Consider the following 24999-nt stretch of genomic DNA (forward strand, 5'->3'; position numbering starts at 1 on the left):
TTTCAAATCCATTTAGGAATAAGGCGAGGGAAAAGGAAGGAAAGAGGAACGGAGGAAAGAAGAAAGGAGGAAAAGTTGGAAGAAAGGAAGGAAGGAGAGATTCTAGTGAATTTCTGTAGAATTTTTTTTTTCTTTTAAATTTTATTTTTATTTTTTTTGGAGACGGAGTCTCGCTCTGTATCCCAGGCTGGAGTGCAGTGGCGCGATCTTGGCTCATTGCAAGCTCGATCTCGGCTCGTTGCAAGCTCCGCCTCCCGGGTTCCCTCCCGGGTTCACGCCATTCTCCTGCCTCAGCCTCCCGAGTAGCTGGGACTACAGGCGCCCAGTAGAGATGGGGTTTCACCGTGTTGGCCAGGATGGTCTTGATCTCCTGACCTTGTGATCCACCCACCTCAGCCTCCCCAAGTGCTGGGATTACAGGCGTGAGCCACCGCGCCCGGCCAGAATTTATTTCTAAGGGCTTAACATACTGAACACTTTCTAGTATTCTCTGAAGGGAAGATTCTGGAAAATAAAATTAAGAAATGCTTCACTGAAACAAAGCCTCTTCAGGAATTCATCATGAATTTTCCTACCATCAATTTCCCCTTCTTTCTCTTGAGACAGTCTGTCACCTCATTGGCCCACACTTTGGTCCTGCAAATCCTGCTCCAAGGTCTCAAAGAAAAGTTTCAATTGAGCGATTGGCTCTCAGAGTTCTTACACTACACGCTTAGGTTTCTTTATTTTTTTTTTTAAATTGATGCATAATATATCACATATACACCATGGAATACTACTCAGTCATAAAAACAATGAAATAACATCTTTTGCAGCAACTGGGATGGACCTGGAGGTCACTATCCTAAGTGAAGTAACTCAGGAATGGAAAACCAAATAGCATGTGTTCTCACTTATAAGTGAGAGCTAAGCTAAGCTATGGGTACACACAGACACACAGAGTGGTATAATGAATTTTGGAGACTCAGATGCAGGGAGGGAGGGAGGTGAGGGATAAAAAACTACATATTGGGGCCAGGCGCAGTGGCTCAAGCCTGTAATCCCAGCATTTTGGGAGGCTGAGGTGGTTGGATCACCTGAGGTCAGGAGTTCGAGACCAGCCTGGCCAACATAGTGAAATCCCATCTCTACTAAAAATACAAAAAATTAGTTGGGCATGGTGGCAGGCGCCTGTAATCCCAGCTACTCAGGAGGCTGAGGCAGGAGAATCGCTTGAACCTGGAAGGTGGAGGTTGCAGTGAGCCGAGATTGTGCCATTGCACTCCAGCTTGGGCAACAAGAGCGAAACTCCATCTCAAACAAACAAACAAACAAAACAACAACAACAACAAAGACAAACCACAAAACAAAACAAAAAAACCCTACATATTGGGTACAGTGTACACTACTCAGGTGATGGGTGCACTAAAATCTCAGCCTTCACCATTATACAATTCATCCATGGAACCAAAAACCACTTGTACCCCTAAAGCTATTGAAATAAAAAAAATAAAATTGATGCATAATAGGTATACATATTTTTGGGATACCTTTGATAATTTGGTATGTTGACATAGTGTGTAAACATCAAATCCGGGTGATTCAGATATCCACCACCTTAAATATTTGCCTTTTCTTTATGCTATAATCATTCAAATTATTCCTATCTAACTGTTTTGGAATGTACAATAGATTATTGTAAACTATAGTCATCCTGCTGATCTATCCAACACTAGGTCTTATTTCTTCGATCTAATTGTATATTTGACCGGTTAATCAACCTCTCTCCGTCCTCTCAGGGCTTTCTTTAAACATAGATCAAAGAAAAAAAATTTGAATTGGGGGCTAACCCCTCTGTTTTTCTACGAAACCAGAAACCTTACGCTGTCTTCACACTTTCGCAACTTCCTTTTATTGGCATAATTTGAGCAAGTGTGTGTGTGAATGTGACTCTTGCCAGTTAGTTTTGCACCACTGGAGAGATGTGAAAGTATTTGCTCTTGCTGAGATGCAACGAGGGGTCGGGTCAGTGCTAACTTGACTACTCATTTCTATTTGACCTTGCAGAGAAGGTTCTTTCAAGAGCACTTAAAAACAATAGCCTTGCTGGGACAAAGTGAAAAACACTGTGAGAGCCTAGAATGTGTACACTGGAGAAAGACACAACAGGACACGAGAGCTGTCCCAGATATCCGAAGGGGGCTACCTGGGGAAGGAAGCAGATTCATTCTGTGCAGCCCAAAGAGGTGGAACTGGGCTGGGAGGGAGGATGTGGGTCTAAGCAAAGTGCCCCACGGACGCCGCTGTCTAAGAGCAGTGCTGTTAGCTCCCCATGGGTGGGGTTGTTGCAGCCGAGGCTGGGGGGCTAGTTGGCAGCCATGCTGCAGGAGGGGACACCAGCCTTGGGGGAGAGCCGTCTGTTAGCTCCTCACTTCTCGGGTCTTGCCCAACCCTGCCTTCATAAACACTAGAAGAATCCTCCTTGTGAGTGGGATGATATGCCCAGGAATGTTGTGGTAGGGCTAGGAGAGGACAGGGAGAGTCAGCTGCCTTGCCAAGAGCCCAGGACGGGAGGTCCTGGGCCAGGTGGATAGCACCTCCCTCAGCCTCAGAACTCAGAGGCTGGCTCAGAGCCAACACCATTCTGCCCAGTTGTCAATGAAGACTTTCACTCTTAAGAGGGTGAAGGGCAAAACCTAAAGGATTTTTCCAACAGTTGTACTCTGATTGCGGAAACCAAAGGAAAGAGTCATGGGTTCTGACGAAAGGTTAGAAAAGCTTTTGGGAGGAGAAGGCATTGAACCTTGATGAGTGGGAAGTTTAACTTCTGGGAAAGTTAAACTGAAATTCATCTGAGCCGCATTATGCTCTTGGCTGTCCTTCCTTTTACCCTATTCAAACCAATGTAGTCAGCTTACCTCCCGTCTTGGGCAGGGCCTGGGGTGGGAGTAGAGCTGGGGTGAGGTGGGACCACAGTGAATCAGACCCAGCCCCTGCCCACCAGGACCTGTAGTCTGGTCACTGATAATCCAGTAGAAGGCAGTAAATTGTGAGTGCCATAGAAAAGGTACCTTGTGGGGGGCTCGCAGGACAGACCATCACACCTGGCTGGGGATCAGGAATGCTTCATGGGGCAGTTCCTCTTTGAGATGTGTGCTGAGGGATGGGCAGGGCTTTTGAGTGAAGGAAGGAGGGTAGATGTGAGTCTCTATTATAATTCTCCGGCAAAAATATTCTGGTTTCTCTCTCTTAGTGGGTAGATTGGTAGGAAGATAAGGTTGGTTTTGGTAGGCTTTTTCTCTTTCAGGTATCCGATACCCACTCCTCACCTTAAAAGATATCTGTGTCTGTTAACTGTCCTTCTTAGGTCCAGAATCAAACTCATCTGTCAATGGGCTCCATGGATAGGGACCAGCAGGGGAGTTAATGGCCCTGGAGACAGAAGGGGCAGGAGGTCAGGAGTCAGGGCTTCGGGAGCAGCCAAGGGGCATTGGGAGGAAAGAGACTGCAGAGAGACTGAAAGGTAACTCATTACGTGACAAAGACTTACTGTTATTACTGATAATTTGCAGCAGGCACTGTGTTGGGAACTGGGTATCCTAAGATGAGGATAGCAGGGCGTCTGCCCCAGGGACCCCCCGCACGGAGGTGGCTGTGTCGGCAACAGTGGTGTCACAGTAGGTAAGTGCAGCGAGCAAAACAGGCCACAGAAGTGCGCACTGGTCCACGGTGACCCCAAGGAGGACATGATCCCCCTTGTCTGGGAGGTAAGGACAGCAGGCAGCCCACCTGCAGCTGGGAGTGGTGATGGGAGAAGCTGCCGGGCTGGCTTCTTGCAGGTCGGCTCTTAGAGTTGGGCCTTTTTGGCCAATTAAATGGTCTCACCTCTCCCTTAAATTCAAGAACTTTCTCCATGAATTCTCAGTCCTGTGCTCACCCAGCCTCTGCTGCCTCTTTTGCTGTTGGGTGGCTGTGGTCGCCACAGGTTCTGCTGCATTTTAGAGACCGAGTCAGCCTTCTGGACTTCCCACCTGCTGGGTAAAACTCAAGTAACATGTGAGAGCCGCGCTCCTCAGGCCCCACCCCCTGTGGGTGATTGATTTCTAAGTAGGGGAAGCCCGCCCTCCTCAGGTCCCACCCCTTGTAGATGATTGATTTCTAAAGTAACAAGTGAGAGCCAAGCTCCTCAGGCCCCACCCCTTCTGGATGATTGATTTCTAAGCAGGGGAAGCCCGCTCTCCTCAGGCCCCACCCCTTGTAGATGATTGATTTCTAAAGTAACAAGTGAGAGTTGCGCTCCTCAGGCCCCACCCCTTGTAGATGATGGATTTCTAAGCAGGGGAAGCGCGGCCGCCCCGGGTTAGACACGCGTCTGTTTGCTTGCAGATGTGCACACACTGTCTCCGGCTTCTTCTGTGGCTTGGTAGAAGCCCCAGCTTTTTAACTTATTAAGCACAGCTCTTCCCTCTGTAGGACTGCAGGCAGGACAGTCCTCTTCCCGGGCTCACCGCAACATTCAGTAGCTGCTTTGAAGGAACAGAATAAGGTTGCCACATGCCAGTCTGTCCTCCGATCACTTCAGGGTTCCACTCACCGTGGGTTCAAGGCTTCTTTGATTCTTTGTTTCCTTTAGTTTTCATTCTCTCCTCTTCAGAACAAGAGTAGATGGTTCGGTGTATGCAAATATCACAGTTCCAGGTAACTTGAAGGAGCAGTTTGGATTTAGGTATTCATTCTTACTTTTATAGGACTGTAGATATCTCTTTATGCAAATAAGACTTACTATTGTATTATAAGAGCAATAACCATGCACTGCTTCAAATGACATCATTTACATTTTTATTTTTGCAATAAGAATATATTTAGGCAACAGAATCAATGCTGCTTTTTGAGAGGTATTTTCTAATTTCTAATGTTGATGGGTTCAAAGACTTGCTATGAGTACATGGGTCACAGACACCACCTCATGCAAAGCAGAAAGGAAATAAATCAAGGAATGAGAACGAGAGCCAACACCATTCTTTCTTTCTTTTTTTTTTTTTTTGAGACAGAGTCTTACTCTGTTGCCCAGGCTGGAGTGAAGTGGTGCAATCTTGGCTCACTGCAACCTCTGCCTCCCGGGTTCACACCATTCTCCTGCCTCAGCCTCCCGAGTAGCTGGGACTACAGGCGCGTGCTACCATGCCCAGCTAATTTTTTGTATTATTAGTAGAGACAGGGTTTCATCATGTTGGCCAGGATGGTCTCGATCTCCTGACCTTGTGACCTCCTGACCTCGTGATCTGCCTGCCTCGGCCTCCCAAAGTGCTGGGATTACAGGCATGAGCCACCGCGCCTGGCCGCGCCAACACCATTCTGCCCAGTTGTCAATTAAGACTTTCACTCTTAAGCAGAGTGAAGGGTAAAACCTAAAGGATTTTTCTCACAGTTGTACTCTGATTGTTTGTGGAAACCAAAGGAAAGAGTCATTGGTTCTGATGAAAGGTTAGAAAAGCTTTTGGGAGGAGATGGCATTGAACCCTGATGAGTGGGTCATTTGGGTAAACTAAAAAGTGGTGGTGGGGAAAGGAGGAGGGACGTAAAGGGGGAGCAGACCCCTTGGCCCACTGCCCGTGTCCCCTTGGCTTTTCACTGGTGCAAGCTGAACTTGCATGCCGAAGAGTCCATGTCCCTCCCGCCCAGCAGAAACCCACACCTGTGACTGATGGGAGTGGTGGACAAATACCCACAACTTCCTCTCTCTACTCTTGGCTGAGGACAATTCTGAAGTGAGCCCTACACTGTCTCCCAGGTAGGATCAACTGTTAGTTGCTACAATGGGAACCTGCTGAAAAAAGTACCCTTTATTGACTTCTTTTTGTTCCCCACTATCCTGCTGGTTTTTTCTGTCCCAAATATACTTGCACTTGAATCCTTGTCTAAGGGTCTGAGAATCCAACCTAAGATAAAAGATGTTTCAGTAGCTGGAACAAAACATGTAAATGGAATGGGTTGGGTGTATTTGAAAGGCATGAATGCTCCAAGGGGGCTAGTGGCTTGGAAGTTTAGAAGGAGATGAGACTAGAATGATAGGAGTCATGATGTGAAGTATCTGAATCCTGAACAAAATAATCTAACTTTTTTGTAGACAATGGGAAACCATGGGGCTGATGAGGGTGGTGAAAACTTTCTCCAAGGTCTGCAAGCATCCGCTTCTCTGGCTCAGGCTCATGGGGCTATTTGCTTCTCTTTCAGCCCCTCCATTCTGAATCACTTACTTGTTAGGGATTCTGCAGGATGCACCTATGGTCCACCAAGTTGGTGTCTGCTTTTGAGGAGAACACTGAATTTCTTCTGGAGCTTCTTGAGCTTCTTTGTGGAAAGAGCTAGGGTTTTTGGAAAAGGCCAGACTTTTGGAACAGTATAGGCTATTTTGGCATTAATTGGATTCTTCCTCATAGGCAGAAGAAGGTGAGTGGCTGGAACTAGTCATTCTAGTTCTTACAATCTCAGGAGGAATGTTTGATGCAAAGGAGTCAGACAGCTGTAAGAAGAGCTCAGCTCACTGAGTTTGGCATTCCTGGGGGCAAATAGGAAAAGACTTCCAGCCAGTGTTAGGGAGTCAGATGGCAGTTGCTGGTGACATTAGAGCTGTTCACCAGGGCTTCGCAGGAGGGAAAGCTGTCCATCAAACAACACCCTATCTACTGAGGGCCTCCTGGGCTTTGGAGAATGCCCCTCAGCCCTGGTGATTATCTGAGACAGTGGGGGGTGTCCAGGAAGTTTGCAATAAGGAGGCGCAAGAGGCTGTTCTTGTTCATCCAAAAGAAGTGGAAAGGAGACAGGGAAGTATGTCTGCTTTGTGGGGAAGGCCCTGGTGCTGGCTAACAGTAAGCAATGTGGTCTTGTAATGCTAGTGGGCAAAAAGCAAAGGGATGTCAGCAATCCAGCCTGTGTTTGTTGAATGCATTTGAGTCAGGTCCTAGGCTGGGCATTGAGCGAGGGAGTCAGGAGAAGGAGCAAGATAAGCCCAAGGAATTCATGGTCAGGGGTCATCAAGAAGGTATACGCACATCTAACTGTAATTCCAGATGCAGTCTGACCTGAGCCATGAAGAAGTGCAGAGTCCCCAAGAGGCCAGAGAGCTCACGTCTGGTTAGAGTCGGGGTGTTTGATGGGAAGATGAAAGGAGGAGCTGGCATCTGAGGTGAGCCTTGTGGGATGTGCAGGGTTTGGATATATGGAGAAGGGCGTCGGGAGATGGGGAGTTTTATTCCCAGGGACATTATTGGGAGGGACTGAAGAATCACTCTGGGTCCAGCTCCTGGGAAGGGGTTCTTGGCTCACTGCCTGCCCTAAGGCCACCTTTCCCCTGTGTAAGTTCCCCCTCTAGTCTTTTAGTCCTGGCACTTGGGTCCAGGAGCAGGAGTCCTGGCTCATCTTAGCATTTAGGGAGGCCACATCCCCTCTCTGGGGCACTGTTCCACCACTTAGAACACAAGGAAGTTGGGCTGGTCAAAGAGTATCTGTGTTAGGGAAGGGCTGTCTAGTTACATCCTCCACCTACCCTCGGTGAGAGGCACCGCTGGGCTTAGCCTGGTTTCTGACAGGAGCAGGGATGTCCCATCCCTCAAGGGTGTTCAGGTGTGTGTGGTAGGAAATTCACTGGAATGGCATTCTCTCACATTTTAGAATTCTTTCAGAGTAACACTTACCCCATACATCTACTTCCCCCTCCCACACTTACCACCCCCAATGAAAACACAAAGCCAGTTTGCCCGCGATACATGATGTGCTGTGCCCAGCCGACTCCGAGGGAATGAGCCTGCTGCCAAGCTCCGTGCAGGCTTGCCTTGCGGGGAGAGCTGCCGGCTCATTAAATGCCTTCATCTGTGAGCCCATGAGTGCACACTCTGCGTGCCAAGGTGCAACGTGAGTCTAATGAAAGAATTATTAATGTGCACACCTCAAATGCAAATAGAATAAGGCCCCCACAAAAACACTCTCAGAAGTTAACCGGAATGCTTATGCACTGCCAGTAGAGGGGTGGCTCACCCTTTTTCTTGCCAGCCCATTCTGAATCTGGGCATTTCTCCTGGGAAGTTCTTCCTCAGATGGAGTGGAGGTCAGTCTTCCCGTGACTCTGACTTCAGGGGCCAGGTTACCTTGTGGCAAGCCCAAAGCCCTGCTCTTTCTCGTCTCCCAAATCCTGCTCTTTCATGCTCTTCTCTGACACTTCCTGTTAGTCACTTCTTGGAGTTCCTGGCTGGGTCGTCTCTGAAGGGCGTTCCTTGGCTCTGTCGCATCGTCTGCTCTGCAGTCTTTGGCTTGCCAGTACTGACCTCCTTAGGTCAATAGGACATTTAGTGTGTGCTGGGCAGTAGGGCAGAGGAGGGATAAAGGATGAGTCACACAAGCCCTATGGGGGCTCACAGTCCAAGGAAGGAGAGAACATCCACCTGCAGATAAGTGCACAATGCTAGGTGCCTGAAAAGAGGCACAGAGGGGGCTCTAGAAATTGCAGGTGGGAATTCAGAGTCCTGTCCAGCTCAGTGGTGTTGGGAGAGAGGGAAGGGGATGGGAATGGGATGTTAGAAAAGATGTCTGGGAGAAGGTGGCTTTGAATTGGATCAAGTAGGATATACAGGATTTGGTCAGGCAAAGATGTGGAATAATCTAGAGAACAGTGAGCGGGAAGATGAAAAAGGCAGGCAGATACATGAGACTGTGAAGAGGTCAGTTTGGCAGATGCAAAGTACACAGGGTGTGGTTGGGGTTAGAGAGAGTTGACGCTGGGGAGACAGGTGGTTCCCATTATGAACAGACTTGAGTGTCATTTTATGGACTTTAGATTTGGGAGATGCCTATTGTCTGTCTCACTAGATCTAGTCTCCACTCCACAGTGGTAGACTGTTTGCAAACCCATCCTTAGTTATTCCCCTCCTGGACCCATGCCCCCTTGTGCTGTAACTTTGACTGCTCTCCCACTCTGATTCTGAGCTCTGACATGTAACTTGCTTGGTCAATGGGATGTCAGCAGTTGTCTCTGCATAAGCAGAGACTTGAAAAATGATTGCGCACTGGTGTTTGTCCTCTCTTGCTGCTCCTGGAATCCTGCTGCCACATGAATGAGCATGCTGAAGGCTAAGAGGCTATGTGGATGGAGAAGCACTGAAGCTCCCCGTCTGGCACTCAGCCGACCATAGATGCCTGAGTGAGTGCTAGCAGAGGTCAGTGGGGCCTGGCCCAGAGCAGAGGAACTGCCCAGCTGAGCTCAGCCCAAATTGCCAAGCTGCAGAATTGTGAGCTAAAAAATGGTTGTTGTTTTAACATTCTAAATGTTGGGGTCGTTTATTATGCAGCAAAAACCAACTGCCATAGGTATAATCCCAGATTCAAAGGATCCAGGTTTAGAGGTCCTGGGATATGGTGGAACATATTTTGCATGTGGGAGGAATGTGAGCAACTGTGGCTGCAGCACAGACTATAGGTTGAAAACTAGCCACTAGCCGCATATTATTCCCCTCCTCTCAAGTGATAGAATCTATTTTTCTTTTTCTTTTTTTTTTCTTTCCTTTTTTTTTTTTTATTTGAGATGGAGTCATGCTCTATTGCCCAGGCTGGAGTGCAGTGGTGTGATCTCAGCTCACTACAACCTCTGCCTCCTGGGTTCAAGTGATTCTCCTGCCTTAGCCTCCTGAATAGCTGGGATCACAGGCATCTGCCACCATGCCCAGCTACTTTTTGTATTTGTAGTAGAGATGGGGTTTCACCATGTTGGCCAGGCTGGTCTTGAACTCCTGACCTCAGGTGATTGCCCCATCTCAGCCTCCCAAAGTGCTGGGATTACAAGCATGAGCCACCATGTCCAGCCAGAATCTGTGTTTCTAACCCTTGATTTGGTGATGACCATGTGACTTATTTCATCCAAGTGGACAGAAGCAAGTGTGATGTAGGCAGAAGTATGAAAAGTGGTTGTACTTTGGGGCTTGCCTGCTTGCTATTCTTGAAACTGTTTGGCTGCTTTGTAAACAAGTCCAGACTAGCACTCTGGAGAGTGAGAGATCCATGTCAAGAGAGGCCCCTATCTTTCTAACCATCTCCAATAAAGCCATTCTAAAGTGACTGGTCCTAGATAACTCGCCAATCAACTGCAGACACATGAGTGAGCCCAGCTGGGATAGCCAAGATCAGCCTACAGCAGACGAGAAGAACTGTCCAGTTGAGCCCAGCTTTAATTGCTGAATTGCTAGACTGAAAAACCAAGGGCTAAATCAATGGTTATTGTCTTAAGGCACTACATTTTGGAGTGGTTTGTAAAAGAACCCATGCTTCCTGCTCTGTAGCCAGGAGGCTGTCCTGTACAGGTTGCATCAGTGGGTTCCCATGCTCTTTGCCTTTGGCCAGCAAGAAGATATTGAGACCGAGGCATTTGTTTCCCTGATTCTTATCCTGCTGGACTGTGGTTTGGCCACAGCCTCTGTCAATGGCTCTGTCCACAGCTCACTTTCAGGGTGCTAGCAATCACTCCTTTCCACGTCTATTCAGGTCCCTGGTGCTGCCAGCTCTGGGGTTCTTCAACATTCCTCAACACTCCCACACCTTTGTCTCTGCTCCGTTACCCCATTTGCATGGCCACCTGTGTCCCGAAAAGACCCTCACTGACTACTTTGTTCTGTGCACAATGAGCAGCTGAAGATTGTCCAGTAAATAGAAACATCCGGTTTAGGAAGAGTGAAACAGAGCTCCTGCTCTAACGGGTCCTGCTGTGGGCACCCCACAAATGCTGCCTTGGCTTGGGCATTTGGAAAGTCATGCTGGAGAATGAGGCTGCCAAGGAGCAACTTTTCCCAGCTGGCTCTCAGGAGCCATCTGGATCTTTGCTTTCTGCAGGGAGTAGTCATCACCCCCTTTCCTGCCAATTCCCCTAAGTTAAAGAATAAAAAATGAGCCCTTCCAGTGCCCCTGGCACCCTTCCTCTCCTTGACAGGATTTTTCTTGAGCACTTTTAGTCAAGCATTAGGCAGCGCATTAAGCAAATCAGGAAGTCAGTTTGGCTCCAGGACATTTGTTCAAAGGACCACAGCCTTGACCCATCTTTTCCACACAATCACCCATGCAGTTAGGACCCTCCAGTGACAGAACTCCCACCAGTGTCTGCCTCTGTGCAAGGCCTCATATGGTTAATAATAGTAATAATTAATGGTGGTGGTGGTGATGATGATGATGATGATAAATGGCAAGGCAAACTGAGAATCTGCCTCTTCCACCACCATGGCTATTACCTTTGACGGAGATGAATTTGGACCTCTGTGTCAAGTTCATACGGGAAGTTTGTAATGGAAGTCAGAGCTGGAATGAGGAAGCGTTAGTAGGGGTGATATATGTTTCTCATCTAGAAGGGTAGCACTTGGAAGGACATGTATCTCCTCAGTGGTGAGAAGTGTTTGATTCTAGCTACTTCAGGGCAGAATCAACCACACACAGCCCAGCTTGGAAGCCCTTTCCACCATTTTTCTCCACTGGCCCAGACACAGGATTAGCTGACCCCTCCCTTTGAGGGAGCCGCAGGTACTCAGAGTTGCTCTTCCTCTCTTGGTGGAGCAGTTAGAGCCACTTGGGGATGGAAGGCACTGACACTGCACATGTGAGGCTGTCCAATGGACAAGACACACTGTGGGACTTGGGAGACTGAGACTTGATTTTTTCCTGAAGAGATAAAGGACAGAATCCAGGTAGGGAAGAAGGGGATTTGGTAACATTTGAAGGGATGTTGAGAGGTTCATGTCTGCATTCACCTTTTGGGCAGGACAATTCTTTATTATGTGGTACCACCTTGTACATTCTAGGGTGGATTGTGTTCCTGATCTCAGTCCACTAAAGGCCAGTAGAGTCTCCCAGTCATTGTGACCATTAGAAATGGCTTATTCCTCTTCCAAGCACTCCTAGGATGGGCTGGAAGGACAATACCGTGCCTGGTTGAGAAACACTGGAGGGAGAGGGCTGCGGGAAGGGAGAAAGAAAGCAGAGAGCTAGGGAAGAAGGGAGATACGTGTGGGAAAGTTGGATCGCTAGTTTCCAAAGGCCTGGGGTACCCTCTCCTGAGAACTCTCACTCCCTTCTTTGACTCTGTGTGGCACATGACAGTGACAATGACCCCTGAGTACAGAAATACTTAAACCTTCAGTGGAGACTAGAGAAGATGAGGCAGTGAAGCAGGCGAGGCAGCATTTGGAACAGATAAGGGAAGTCTCCCTGATCAGTGATGGCCAGTGGCCTCCATTACCATGGGTTCCTGGGTGCCGAGGATCATCTATCTGAAGGCAAAGTCCTGAGTAGATTGAAGATAAGGTTCATCTCCTCAGTTTCCCCTAGCTCAGAAGACACAGTCTGAGGGGCAGAGGAAAGGAAGGACCTGGCCCCTGGGTTACAAGTTAAATTAACTCAGACTGATTCCTGCTGGTCCTGCCAGAAATGTTCTTCCGCCAGGTCTTGCATGGCTGGCTCCTTCTCTTAATTCAGGTCTTTGCTAAACTAGATCTCTCCTCCTTACTCCTCAAACCTCTATCCTTTATCCTAGTTTCTTTTCTTTTCTTTTCTTTTCTTTTCTTTTCTTTTCTTTTCTTTTGAGATGGAGTTTTGCTCTGTTGCCCAGGCTGGAGTGCAGTGGCATGATCTGGGCTCACTGCAACCTCTGCCTCCCGGGTTAAAGCGATTCTCCCACTTCAGCCTCCTGAGTAACTGGGACCATAGGCATCCACCACGCCTGGCTAATTTTTGTGTTTTTAGTAGAGAGGAAGTTTCACTGCCCATTTAGGTCCCCAGTGCTGCCAGCTCTGGGGTTCTTCAACATTCCTCAACCCTCCCACACCTTTGTCTCTGCTCCATTACCCCATTTGCATGGCCACCTGTGTCCTGAAAAGACCTTCACCGACTACTTTGTTCTGTGCACAATGAGCAGCTGAAGACTGTTTAGTAAACAGAAACATCCGGTTTAGGAAGAGTGAAACAGAGCTCCTGCTCTAAGGGGTCCTTCTGTGGGTGCCCACAAATGCTGCCTTGGCTTGGGCACTTGGAAAGTCACGCTTTCCAGTGATCAGCCTCCCAAATTGTTGGGGTTACAGGCATGAGCCACCACGCCCAGCCTCTAGTTTATTTTTTTCAAAGTACTTGTTAGTATCTTATGTTAGATTTTAAAAATTCATTTATTTACCTTTTATATAATTCTGCCCATCAGGGCAGTGGCTTGGTCTGTCACATTCACTTCTGGCATGTAATATGTGCTCAACGAATGAATAAGTGAATGGATTACTCAGTATGTGCCAGGTGCTGTGCTAAGTAATTTGCGTCCATTGTCTCATGAAAGTCTCAAGGATTCTTTAAGGTAAGTATTATATCATCTCCATGTTTTGCAGAAACCAAGACTTAGTGAGTTTAAGTAACCCCCCCAAGGTCATATAGCTATTCATTAAGTGGTGCAATAGGATTTGATTGACTCAAGTGCCCACAGTCTTGTAGGAAAACAAATACAAAGATATAAATCATTGTACTATAGGGAAGCAAATTCTAAATGTCCCAAGAGAAGAGCTGGATGCAGGACTATGGCAATTTAGGAGGGGACAAGTATTTTCAGTTGAAAGTGGGAATGAATTGGAGGAGGAGGTTAAATTTGAGCTGAGCCCTGGAGGATAGTATGATGGCTAATTTCCTGTGTCAGTTGGCTAGGTTATGGTGTCTAGTTATTTGGTCAAAATTAAATCAGCAGACTTTGAGTAAAGATAATCCTCCATAATGTGGATGAGCCTCATTCAATCAGTTGAGGGCCTTAAGGGAAATGTCTGATATTCCCTGACAAAAAAGGAACTTTGCCTCTAGAGTACCTTTGGACTCAAACTGCAACACCAACTCTTTCCTAGGTCTTCAGCCTACTGTCCTTCCCTGTAGGTTTTGGACTAGCCAGTCCCCAAAATCACATGAGTCAGTTCTTCAAAATAAATCTCTCTCTCTCTCTCTTTCTCTGTATAGATATATATGCATACACACATCCTACTGGTTCTGTTGCTGTGGAGAACCCTGACTAACACAGATGGACATTTAGGTGTTTAGGTGTGTGGAATTGGGGCAGGGAAAAGAACTGTGAGCAGGAGCTGGAGAGGCGTGGACGGAGCTGTAGTGATCTGGAGGCTCTGGAGCAGAAGATCACCATAGGGAGGGAAGTGGTGGGGTGGAGACCGCCCTGGACAGGAAGCTGGGGCCAGCATGTGGAGGGCAGGGAACGCCAGAATAAGGGTTTTAGGAACTCTCATTGTCTTAGGAAGTAGAAGATCCTTGAGTGACAAGGGTAAGACAACAGGGTCCACTCCCCATCAAAGGCCTCCGATGCTTCTCTTTCAGCAGGAAATCAACATTCAAGGGGAGACCCAATGAAGAAGATAGTGCCAGAACTTAATGGAGGCAGCCCAAGAGGAACGTGTACCTGGGGAAGTCAAGAGCTATTTCTTGGACATTTGTGCCTCTATTCCAAACTCTTCTCTCAGAGTAGATGACAACTCAGGAAGGAGCCAGAGATCTTCCTCAGTTGACTTGTTCAGAAATATGATTTGGGATTCAGTCTGGCCCGAAGCCATGCTTCCAGCCTCATCTCCACTGTGCACTTTCCATGGCGTTCTGTCTTGGTCCACTTGGCTTGTGTAGCTGCCTGGCCTGGGTTGTCCTCCCCACCCTTGTCTGCTTGGTGGCACTTGGCCCTGTTCTAATTGCTTCTGCTCGGGCAGCTTCTCTCCTCCCTCCTCTGTGCTCTGAGCACACTGGACAGATTCCTGTTAGAGCTGTCACTGTCTTCCTGCTGTCTGCCCACTGACCTTGGAGCTCCAGGAGGACAGGAGCCTTATCTTACCCCATGACATGGCCTATGCCCAGCCTGGTGCCAACGTGGTCTGGAGGTATCTGTAGGCTGAATGAAATTCTTCCCTCTGGGATGCCCTTTAAAGTTGTTTTCTTTCTGGAACCTGGGGCAGTGACTGGAATGGTTGGAATGTGGCCTTGGTTTGCCATTGGGTGTTTTGTTCCTCCGAGCATTGGCTGGACTCTCTGGTGATTTCTGGTCTTGAAGGACTTCCTGTTTTAAATGTCTGTGGGGTTGTGGTTCCCGAGCTGCTGCACTGTCTCCCATAACCTTTCTCTCTATCCTGGCCTGGTCTCTCTTCCACACCAGAACTTTCCTCTAGATCAATGGTCCAGGACCATCAGAACCAGTGAACCACACTCCTGACCATTCTCCAAATAGTCATTTGGCCAAATACGAGGTACGTGGCAGCTCTTTCTTTTCTGGACCCCACTTCACCTCTGAGCAGCTTCCTTCTCCCAGGAGCTGAAGCTCCCCCACGATGTCTCAATGCCAGGCAGATGCGCTTGACCTTCTGCCTCTTGGGGCCCTCACCAAGCTAAGGGATTTTAAATCATTCAACTAATGTATTACAGTGGGAAAGACACCCCACTAAGGGGCTCCACTAAATATCCTTTCCAGTTGATAAGATCATTTTTTTTTAATCCAGCTACAAACTCTTGAGTTTTAAACCCCATGAGTTATTTACCATACGCTTGTATCCCCTACAGTGATTTTTAAAGTGCCATGGCTGTTTCTCCACTGGCTGTGGAGTGAGCTGATGTTACTGCAGGTTGAGGTTGAGCCACTTTGCTTCACCGACAGTTCCAGGAGTCCTTTTGGGCACTGACTGTGGGTCCAGTCCTGAGCTGAGTGCACAGAGGACGGGGGAGGTTGAGGGAGTCAACACAACTCCGAGGTGTCCTTGTTCTCCAGGGGCTCTAGGTTCTGACCTGCACCCAGCCACAAGCTGACTTGAGTCAAAAAGTCACAAAGTGTGACTTGGGGTTTCCTATCCCAGGATCTTGGCCAGAGCTTCATTTGGAAGCCCCAGAGACCTGGACCAGACTTGCAGGTAGACATTCACCAATGCGTGATTTGAGGGCTGCTCAAAGGGACCTCCCCACTTCCCACATGGAGCACTCTCGGGATTAGCCATCACCGGAAACTCCTTTCCCGCAGGACAGAGCCCAGACAACTCATTCTGTCTTCAAAAGCCACCACTGTCTGGCACCAACCCACTTTTCCAAACTCCACCTCCTGCGACTTCAGCCACATGGAACAAGCATGGACTGATGTTCTCTATACCTTTCCAACTCCAGCTCTTGGCTTCTGCTCTTTTCTCTGCCAATGAGGCTGTGCTGTCTATTACTGAGTAACAATATTACCATATACTTAGCACCTTTAAACAATACACACTTATTATCTCATAATTTCTGTGGGTCAAGAATTCAGGTGTGGCTTAGCTGGGTCCTCTGAAAGGCTGCAATGAAGATGTCAGCCAGGACTGTGGTCTCAATCCAAGCTTCAGCTAGAGAAGGATCTGCTTCCCAACTTCGCATATGTTGGTAAGATTCAGGCTCTTGCAAGTGATCGGACCAAGGCCCCCAGTTTGTTGTTGGCTGTTGGCTGGAGGCTGCCCTCAGTTTCTAGCTGGTTGTGGGCAGTTGCCTTGAGTTCCTTGCCACATGAGCCTCCTCAACATGAATGCTTGCTTCTTCAAAGCTGGTGAGAGAGAGGCTCTTCTAATAAGATGGACTGTACAAGCTCACATTATGTAATCACAGAAGCAACAGCTGTCACCTTTGTTATACTTTATTGCTTAGCATCAAGTCACAATTCCTGCTGATACTCAAAAGGTAGGGATTACATCAGGGCGTGGGCACCAAGAGGTGGGGATCATGGGGCCACTTTAGCCTCTGTCTCCACCCATCTCCTTCTCCCAACCTCCCTGTCCACTCTAGAAACAGCAACCTAGTAAAATTCATGAAAGCTTCCCTTAGTCACCTCAACCACAGGGCTTTGCTTACATCGTTCTTTAGTACTTCATTCATTTATTCAACAAAATACATATTGAGCATCTGCCGTATGCCTGGAGCTAGAGGTAGTATAGTATAATGGTTAAGGCTTCAAGTTCTGGAATCAGAGTCTCTTGTTCCAAATCCTGGGTCTCCACTTCATGCTGGGTCTCAATAAACTCATCTCTAAATAACACTAGGAGATTTGTAAGTTTGAAGGTTAATTTTATGTGTCAACTTTCCTGGGTCATGGGGTGCCCAGGTATGGGGTCATACATTATTGTGGGTATTTTTGTAACATTTAATGTTAATCTCATCCAAAATTAATAATAAGGTGAGTGGGCTTTATCCAGTAAGTTGAAGTCCTGTGTGGAACAAAAGTCTGACCCTCCCCCTAGTAAGAGAGAATTCTTCCTATTTGGTGGCCTTTATCAGAACTTCCTGGTTCTATGGCAGCTGTCATCCTTCTGACTTGAACCGGAACATCAGCTCTGCAGATTTTGGACTTGCCAGTCTCCATAACTGTATAAGTCAATTCCTTATACTAAATCTCTTTTTATATATCCCCTATTGGTTCTGTTTTTCTGGAGAACTTGACTCATACAGTTAGGCTAAATGAAATCACACATGTAGAAAACAGCATGGAGCTGGGCTCCTAGTAAGAAATCAATGAAGATTAAATTTTATTTTAGGGGCTGGAGAACCAGTAATGATTCAGTGGGCTGTTGTCCAGCCTTCATGGAGCCCATGCAGCCTTTCTCATGAGTGATTGCGTGTGTGCCGTACCTCCCCAGCAGGGCTCCAGGGACGTGTCTGAGAGCAGATCACACTGTTTGTCTTCTCTGTCACCTGCCTTGCCCCTAGCTTGGGTCTGGAACACTCAGGGCTTCAGTGACTGGGCGCAGGATGGATGCCCTCCAACCCAACACCCCTTGGCAGTATGCCATCGGCAACAGGGCAAATCTACTTGATGCCAGTCCTCACGCCCCCTCCGTGCAGCCAGCCACGCTGGTTTTCCAGCTTCCACATTTGTCATGTAGTGTGCTCAGATGCTCCGTTCTTCCTCTTCATTCTGTGGATGAGAAATTATGGCCAACCAAGAGTTCTGCCTTCCTCCTTCCGTGCTTGCTGCTTGATGAAAGTGGGTTGCTAGTGTGTCATGTGGATACATTTCTCAGTCTGAGAACACAGGGAGTGGTGCTGAGAGTGAGTGGGCAGAGGGTGAAGGGTGGTGCCTGGGAGGGGAGAGCTAGAGCCTCTGAAACCACATGGTGGACATTTGCCTTTGATTGTTTGCTTGCCCGGAATCTGACCTGTGCTCTCCTACGTTGTGAGAATCCTCACTGTGTGCGTCTTACTGGGAGGCAGGGCTCTGTCATACACAGTGAAAGCCAGAGGCCCAGACTGCCCTTTCTCTAAGTGCTGGCATCCAGGGCCTGGGCACTAAGGCAGATTTGGTTTTAGGCTGCTGGCTTGGGTTAGTTTAGGATAACTCTGGTTATTTCGGGTTATTGCAGAAGTCCTAGACAGATTGGAGAGATCAGCCCATCAAGTATATGCTGATCTGGGGTTCATAGAGAATCCAAAACAGTATACTCTCTGCAGTCAACATTTTCTCAGCTCAGACTTTGCTTCCCAACATCCTTTTATTTCTTTTTTGTAGGGAAGCTGAGGGAGAGGGTAAAACTGCAATTAGCTGCCTGCCCTTACTGTCTGGGCCTGTACCCAGCTCATCGGGACTGTGTTCGCAGTGTTCACATGGTAAACGTGTCACCAGGGGCAAACTGCAGCCTCAAAGGCAGGGAGTGGGATAGGAAAACTGGGCTATAAATAAGTCAGAAAAGCAGCTTTTTGAAAAAGGAGTGGCTACTTACAAAACTTAGGATTCTCGAACTGGAAAGAACCTTGGAAATTTAGAAATGGAATCAGAGTTGGAATCTACCTCAGGAGTTTAGGCCAATTATGCGAATTCCTTTCTTTTTGGAGTGATTGGCTGAGGCGTGGGAATATGACTTCACCCTAGCCAATGAGATGGAAAGGGGAGCCTGGGAGGACATCTGGGAATGTTTCCTTCATTCATAAAAAAAAATACCAAATACTTGCTTTTTCCTATATCTGAGTGCGTTTGTATGAGGGAATGTCACCTGCAGCCGTGGGTGCCATCTTGGACCAGGAAGGGGAACCCAAGAAAATCCCAGATAAGCTAACCCGGAACTCACCCAATTTAAAGACTCACCTTCAAGCAGACTTCAAAATCCCGATACAATACATTCCTTGACTTTGTCTGACTCCTTCCTGGACACCCCTAAGACTCAGTGGAAGTAGCACTCTCCCTTGCTGAGGTAAGAATAAATACAGTTGTTTCTTATCAACAGGTTGCTTTGGTGATTTTTGGGGAGCCAGCATTAGACACCAGCAAACAATAGGAAAAATTAGTGGGATGTTGTCCAGGCTTCATGGAGCTCATGCAGCCTTTCTCATGAGTGATTACGTGTGTGCTTTACCTCCCCAGAGGGACTCCCTCGTCTCCCTCATTTACTCTGGCTTGTAGGGGAAGATCATGCTCCAGCCCTTTGAGTTGCCATGTGTCTTCCTTCCACAGTTTCCAAGGGGCCTCCGGGGGCCTGTCTCCTTTCACACTCTCTTGTCTTCTTGCAACTTGGACTTTTCTCCCTGGAGCTGGAGAAAGGAGAAGCCATAGAATTGCCTGACCTGCCCACCCCCCACCCTTCCCACCCTTCCCCACCCTCGTTCATGTGATACCGTTTCTTTTACTCAAATGCTTTTTTTCTCTCTCCCAATACACAGATGATGGAATATAGGAATACCGGTAGACACATAGGCAGAGATTGCTTTTTCATCCCAGGAGGCTCAGCATTTTCCCACTCAGTTATTGAGCTTTTACAAGCCGCTGTTCAGGATGGTCAGACTCAGTTTTTTAGCACACCAGTAATTGCTTCTTTCTTTTTTCTTGGGGAAATTTTAGGCCACACTTTCTGTAGCAGCCCATGCTCCAATTGGACTAGCTGTGGAACAATTAGTTTCATAAATGAATGTGTCTGGAAAATGGATTCCAAAGTCCTCTGTCTGGTGTGTGACCTTGAGCTGTGTGATCTTGGACGAGTCCCTTTTTTTTTTTTTTTTTTTTGTGAGCCCAGGTTCCTCCTCTGTCAAAGAGAGAGTTGGGCTAGATGATCTCCGAGGGCTCTATGGCTCCTTGAGATCCTGCAGTTCATTGATTCTATGCCTCAAGGGGAAAGCATTTAGAGGGAAATGATTTGTTTTTAATTATAGAAACAAAACACGCTTCTTATTGTAAAAATTAGAACAAGTCAAAAGTATGCAAAACCTAACACATTGGTGTTCCTTCTTTGCTCCATAAATTCCCCTAGAGAGAGTCTTTTGGGGGCAGTATTTGCCAAGAGCACTCAGTGCCTGCTTTTTGATGATGTTGACACCAATGACTTCCAATTCACTGAGATAACTAAGGGCTGTTTTGAGAAGCAACTGTTTGTGTTCTTATCGTTTCCCTTTCCTTTGGAGGAAAATTGCAGAAGTTTTTTTGTGTTGTTTAAGGGTTGCAAAGCTCTGCTGCCTGTGACCACGCCTATGTCTTTGTCAGAAAATAGGACACATAATCCTGGCCTTAGCCCAAGACTCAGATTTGTGAGGTGCGTGTCTTCAGGAGGGCCTGTGACCAGGGTGCTGACTGTCCCACAGAGCCATGGGCTGGACACGCAGGTCCAGAGATTAGGTCCTAGCACAACAATATTGATCTCAGCACTTTAGTCTTCCTATAAACATGAACATTACCTTGTTATGTGTGTCTAAAGTTTTAATCAATTGCAGTTGGACTCTGTAGCAGAGAACTGAGAAAATACCAAGTGTTGGAGAACAACAATGAAAAGCACTTTTATTACCTGCCATTCTGGGGAAGCAGCCCATTAGGGAGACATAGATCAAGGGCATTGGCTACCAAAGTTCTCAGCCACATGCTTAATCCCTTAGATTACAGCTCATAGCTGCCTCAATGAGGGTCAGACCCGAGGAAGGAAGATAAATAGAATCCAGTGTGGCCCCAGGAAATTTGGGCAGGGCCATGCAGATGTGGGTGTGAGGTGAGGCTCAGTGTTGAGGAAGGGGTCGGGCGGGGAGAGTTGTATTCAAGGAAGGGGGATGTATTAAACTGTTTCTCCTCACCAGAGAGCAGAGGGAAGGAAGAGAGTAGAAGGCTGATGGGGCATTCTAAGGGTTAGATAGGGAAACTGATGGAGTGACAGTTGGCTGAACCTGGCCCATGGTGGAGAGCAGGCCAAGCCACACAGCCAGCCCCTGCCTCGATCCTTGAAGGCCCTGGAGAAGCTCACTGGGGTTAAAGAAGCAGGGGGCAAGGCCAGGCGCCATGGCTCACGCCTGTAATCCTAACACTTTGGGAGGCCGACGTGGGCGGATCACAAGGTCAAGAGATCGAGACCAGCCTGGCCAACATGGTGAAACCCCATCTCTACTAAAAATACAAAAATTAGCTAGACATGGTAGCGCATGACTGTAGTCCCAGCTACTCAGGAGGCTGAGGCAGGAGAATCGCTTGAACCCGGGAGACGGAGGTTGCAGTGAACCGAGATGGCACCATTGCACTCCAGCCTGGCAACAGAGCAAAACTCCATCTCAAAAAAAAAAAAAAAAAAAAGAAGCAGGGGGCAAAAAGTACAAGATGTTAAAAGACTGTGCCATAATACTACTAACTCATTCATTCAGTTACTCAGTCATTCATTTGTCTACCCAACAAATGTTTATTAAGCCCTTTCTATATGCCAGATGCTGTGCTAGGCCCTGGGGATATAATGGTAATAAGACAGCTGTGTCTCCTGCTCTTATGAAGGCTGCAGTCTAGTGGAGGAGATTGCGGTTGAATTAATTCCAAGGTGAAAGGCCAGGCAGAGGGGCGGCAGTAGAGAGGGTGGGGGCCTGGGGGCCTGGGCAGGGTCAGAGAGTGACCAGTACTGCAAGCAAGAGGGCAGAGGGAGTAGGTGCTTGTGAGGTGTAAACAGTATGAGGTGGCCTTGGGAAGGTTGTGGGGCAATCCTAGGGAGGCATGGTGGTCCTAGGGCAGGGCTGCAGCTTCTGGAAGAGTCTGACAGGTGTACCCTGCCAGAACTGGTCCTGGATTGGACCTGTGGGAATGGAGAGGGAGGGGTGATGATGATTGACCTCTGGGTTATGGCTTGGGGGTCTCACAGGATGTTAAGATGGGAGGTGGGGATGGGGTGAGGGTGGGGAGGAGTGGCACAGAGATGCTGCCCTAGTCACAGCTCCAGGTTGCACAGTCCCATGGCCCCGATTCCAAAATTGGAGGCGCTTCAGGTTGAAAGCACCTCCTCTCTGCAAAGCCCCAGGGAGACAAGAGGCTAGCAGTCTCTCTGCTCTTCCTGAGGATTAATTCATTCTGAATGTTTTCTTCTCAAGAATGAATTGAGATAACCAAAATTAGGAATTGGAATTTGAAAGGGGAGACTTCAGGGCACTTCCTTAAAAGGAAGGGAAGGTGAAGTGGATGGAAGATACCAGGAGTGACAGGGAGTGGGACAGTGCAAAGAATTTGAACAACCTCTAGGAAAATCTATTTTTTCTATGATCTCACCTGGCACTGGATATTCTCTGTGCTGTTTCCTCACCTGTAAAATGGAGGCAGCAATGTCATCTCACAGGACTGTGGTGAGAATTAAATCATAACCCCAAGCCCTTGAAGTACAGCATGGACTTAGTAAATGTTAGCACCCATCCTTCATGCTTGGCCTCCACCAGCCCCTGTGGAATAAAGGATATTATGAATTGCCCTGGCTCACCTTGGGGACCAAGAGAGAGAAGTATGCGGAAGTCCTTGGCAACCTGCACACACAGGTATACTTATCATTGAGATGATGGCGATTAATGACAACAATTTTCGTGAAATGTCACCCGAAGGGCCAGTAGGCTTGTAAGTAGCAGGGACAGCTGAGATCCCCATAGCAACTGTCTTCCCTATGCAACAAATACGGGTGGGAAACAGTGCAACTGTCTAGAGAGAGCTTGGGCGGTGGTCAGAAGGACTTGGAATTGAATCTTGACTCTGCCACCATGAGCTGCGTGACCTTATGAAACTACTTAATGTCTCTGTGTCTTATTTCTTCATCTGAACAACATAGATAATGCCATCTAGCTCACAGGCTGTCACCAGCAAGAGACCTAGTATGTAGAACTTCCAGTGCACAGCAGGCAGAATAGCATCGTGTAGGGTCCAGGTTAAGGAGTGACTTAAGTTCATGGGGCCTCAGGGTCCTCAGCTGTGAAATGTGGATGTTAATAGTAGCTACTTCCTAGAGTTTGTTGATTAAACACATCATGTAAGGAAAGCACATAGAACAATGCCCAACAGTCATTGTTAGTTATCAAAGTAGGTGCTCCAGATGGCTCTTCCCTCATCGCAGGCCTCTTCTGACTCCCACCTGCGACATTTACCCATGGGAAGGAGGCTCCTTTAGTACAGGAGTTTCCTGGAATCCAGAGAGGGTTTTTGTCCCATCTCATGGTCCCTGTAGGGAGCAGTATGAAAATTGTTAGAGAGGTAAGGCTGAACTCAGAATCTTCTGGTAGCCTTGACAAAGCCAGTGGTGCTTTTATGAATCTTAGGCCTTTCCCTCCTGTAGGTGGAAGGGATATTAGCCCGGGTTCTCTAGAGAAACAGAACCAACAGGGTGTGTATATATACATCTGAGAGAGAGAGAGAAAGAGAGAGAGAAAGTGGCGTAGGCTGGCAGGCTGGAGATCCAGGAAAGAGTCTGAGTCCAAAGGCAGCCTGCTGGGAGAATTCCTTCTTGCTCAAGGGAGGTTAGTTTTTGTTCTATTCAAACCTCCAGCTCATTAGATGAGGCCCACCCATGTTATGGAGGGTAATTTACTCAAGGTCCGCTGATTTAAATGTTAATCTCATCACAAAAACACCTTCACAGAAACACCCAGAATAATATTTGACCAAATATCCGGGCACTATGGCCCAGCCAAATTGACACATAAAATTAGCTATTGCATCTTCCTCACACTTCTTTTTTTTTCTTTAATTAAAAAAATTGAAGTTGATGCATGGTATTTGTATCTATTTGTGGGGTATACAGGCAATTTTGTTACATGCGTACTATGTGTAATGGGCAAGTCAGGGTATTTAGGATATCTCCATCACCTCAAGTATTTATCATTTCTATGTGTTGGAAAATTTCAAATCCTCTCTTCTAGTTATTTTGAAATATACAATACATTGTTGCTAACTATAGTCACCCTACTCTGCTACTGAAGAGTGGAACTTATCCCTTCTATCTAACCCTATGCTTATATCCATTAGCCAACCTTTCTTCATTCCCACCCTCCCCAATGCACATAGCTTTCCCAGCCTCTGGGATCTATCATTCTACTCTCTTATCTTCATGAGATCAATCTTTTTAGCTCCTACATGTGAGTAAGAACATATGATATTTGTCTTTTTGTGCCTGGCTCATTTCACTTAACATAATGACCATCAGTTCCATCCATGTTGCTGCAAATGACAGAATTTCATCCTTTTTTTATGGCCTAATAGGATTCCACAGTGTATATTTATGTATACCACATTTTCTCTATCCTGTCATCCATTTGATGGACACTTTGGTTGATTTCATGTATTTGCCATTGTGAGTAGTGATGCAATAAACATGAGGTGCAGGTATCCCTTTCATATACTGATTTCTTTTCCTTTGGATAAACACCTAGTAGCGTGATTTCCGGATTGTATGGTAGTTCTATTTTTAGCTTTTGAGAAATCTCCATATTGTTTTCCATAGTGGCTGTACTAATTTACATTCCCGCCCGCAGTGTATGAGTTCCCTTTTCTCCACATCCTTGCCAGTATCTGTTACTTTTTATATTTATAGTAATAGCCATTCTAACTGGGATGAGATGATATCTCATTGTGGTTTTGATTTGCATTTCTCTAATGATTAGTGGTGCTGAGCATTTTTTCATATACCTGTTAGCCATTTGTATGTCTTCTTTTGAGAAATGTCTGTTCAGATCACATGCCCATTTTCTAATGGGATTATTTGTTTGTTTGTTTTACTGTAGAGTTGCTTC

General features: G+C 47.2%; 3 long non-coding RNA genes across 3 annotated transcripts in view, besides 4 other annotated features; 2 read left to right on the plus strand and 1 right to left on the minus strand.

Moving 5' to 3' along the window:
• LINC01968 (long intergenic non-protein coding RNA 1968) overlaps positions 1–17062 on the plus strand; it is a 73748-nt gene extending 56686 nt beyond the window's left edge. The window contains exon 4 of the long non-coding RNA NR_037891.1: positions 14356–17062. This is a non-coding gene — a long non-coding RNA (long intergenic non-protein coding RNA 1968). The remainder of the gene's footprint in view (positions 1–14355) is intronic.
• The window catches only part of LOC105374292 (uncharacterized), a 120878-nt gene that overhangs the window by 59534 nt on the left and 36345 nt on the right, over positions 1–24999 (plus strand). Inside the window, exon 3 of the long non-coding RNA XR_001741084.2 lies at positions 7050–7165. This is a non-coding gene — a long non-coding RNA (uncharacterized LOC105374292). The remainder of the gene's footprint in view (positions 1–7049; positions 7166–24999) is intronic.
• Positions 132–3603, minus strand: LINC01972 (long intergenic non-protein coding RNA 1972). The gene is made up of 3 exons (NR_146990.1): positions 3530–3603; positions 3309–3411; positions 132–504 (listed from the first exon to the last, which is right to left on the minus strand). It is a non-coding gene; the product is annotated as a long intergenic non-protein coding RNA 1972 (long non-coding RNA).
• Positions 4094–4388: an enhancer, noted in NCBI's record as "tiled region #2136; HepG2 Activating DNase matched - State 4:PromP, and K562 Activating non-DNase unmatched - State 4:PromP". NCBI's record gives its function as "activates a minimal TATA promoter and a strong SV40 promoter by Sharpr-MPRA in HepG2 and K562 cells {active_cell/tissue: HepG2 | K562}" and the evidence as "EXISTENCE:reporter gene assay evidence [ECO:0000049][PMID:27701403]".
• Positions 4234–4333: a silencer, noted in NCBI's record as "silent region_15029". NCBI's record gives its function as "represses an Ori minimal core promoter by ATAC-STARR-seq in GM12878 lymphoblastoid cells {active_cell/tissue: GM12878}" and the evidence as "EXISTENCE:reporter gene assay evidence [ECO:0000049][PMID:35858748]".
• Positions 4504–4603: an enhancer, noted in NCBI's record as "active region_21036". NCBI's record gives its function as "activates an Ori minimal core promoter by ATAC-STARR-seq in GM12878 lymphoblastoid cells {active_cell/tissue: GM12878}" and the evidence as "EXISTENCE:reporter gene assay evidence [ECO:0000049][PMID:35858748]".
• Positions 17527–18726: an enhancer, noted in NCBI's record as "BRD4-independent group 4 enhancer chr3:194503362-194504561 (GRCh37/hg19 assembly coordinates)". NCBI's record gives its function as "activates an origin of replication core promoter dependent on BRD2, P300/CBP, MED14 and CDK7 cofactors, and independent of BRD4, by STARR-seq in HCT116 cells {active_cell/tissue: HCT116}" and the evidence as "EXISTENCE:reporter gene assay evidence [ECO:0000049][PMID:35650434]".

This window comes from Homo sapiens, chromosome 3 (assembly GCF_000001405.40).
Source record: "Homo sapiens chromosome 3, GRCh38.p14 Primary Assembly".
Taxonomy (NCBI): Eukaryota; Metazoa; Chordata; class Mammalia; order Primates; family Hominidae; genus Homo; species Homo sapiens.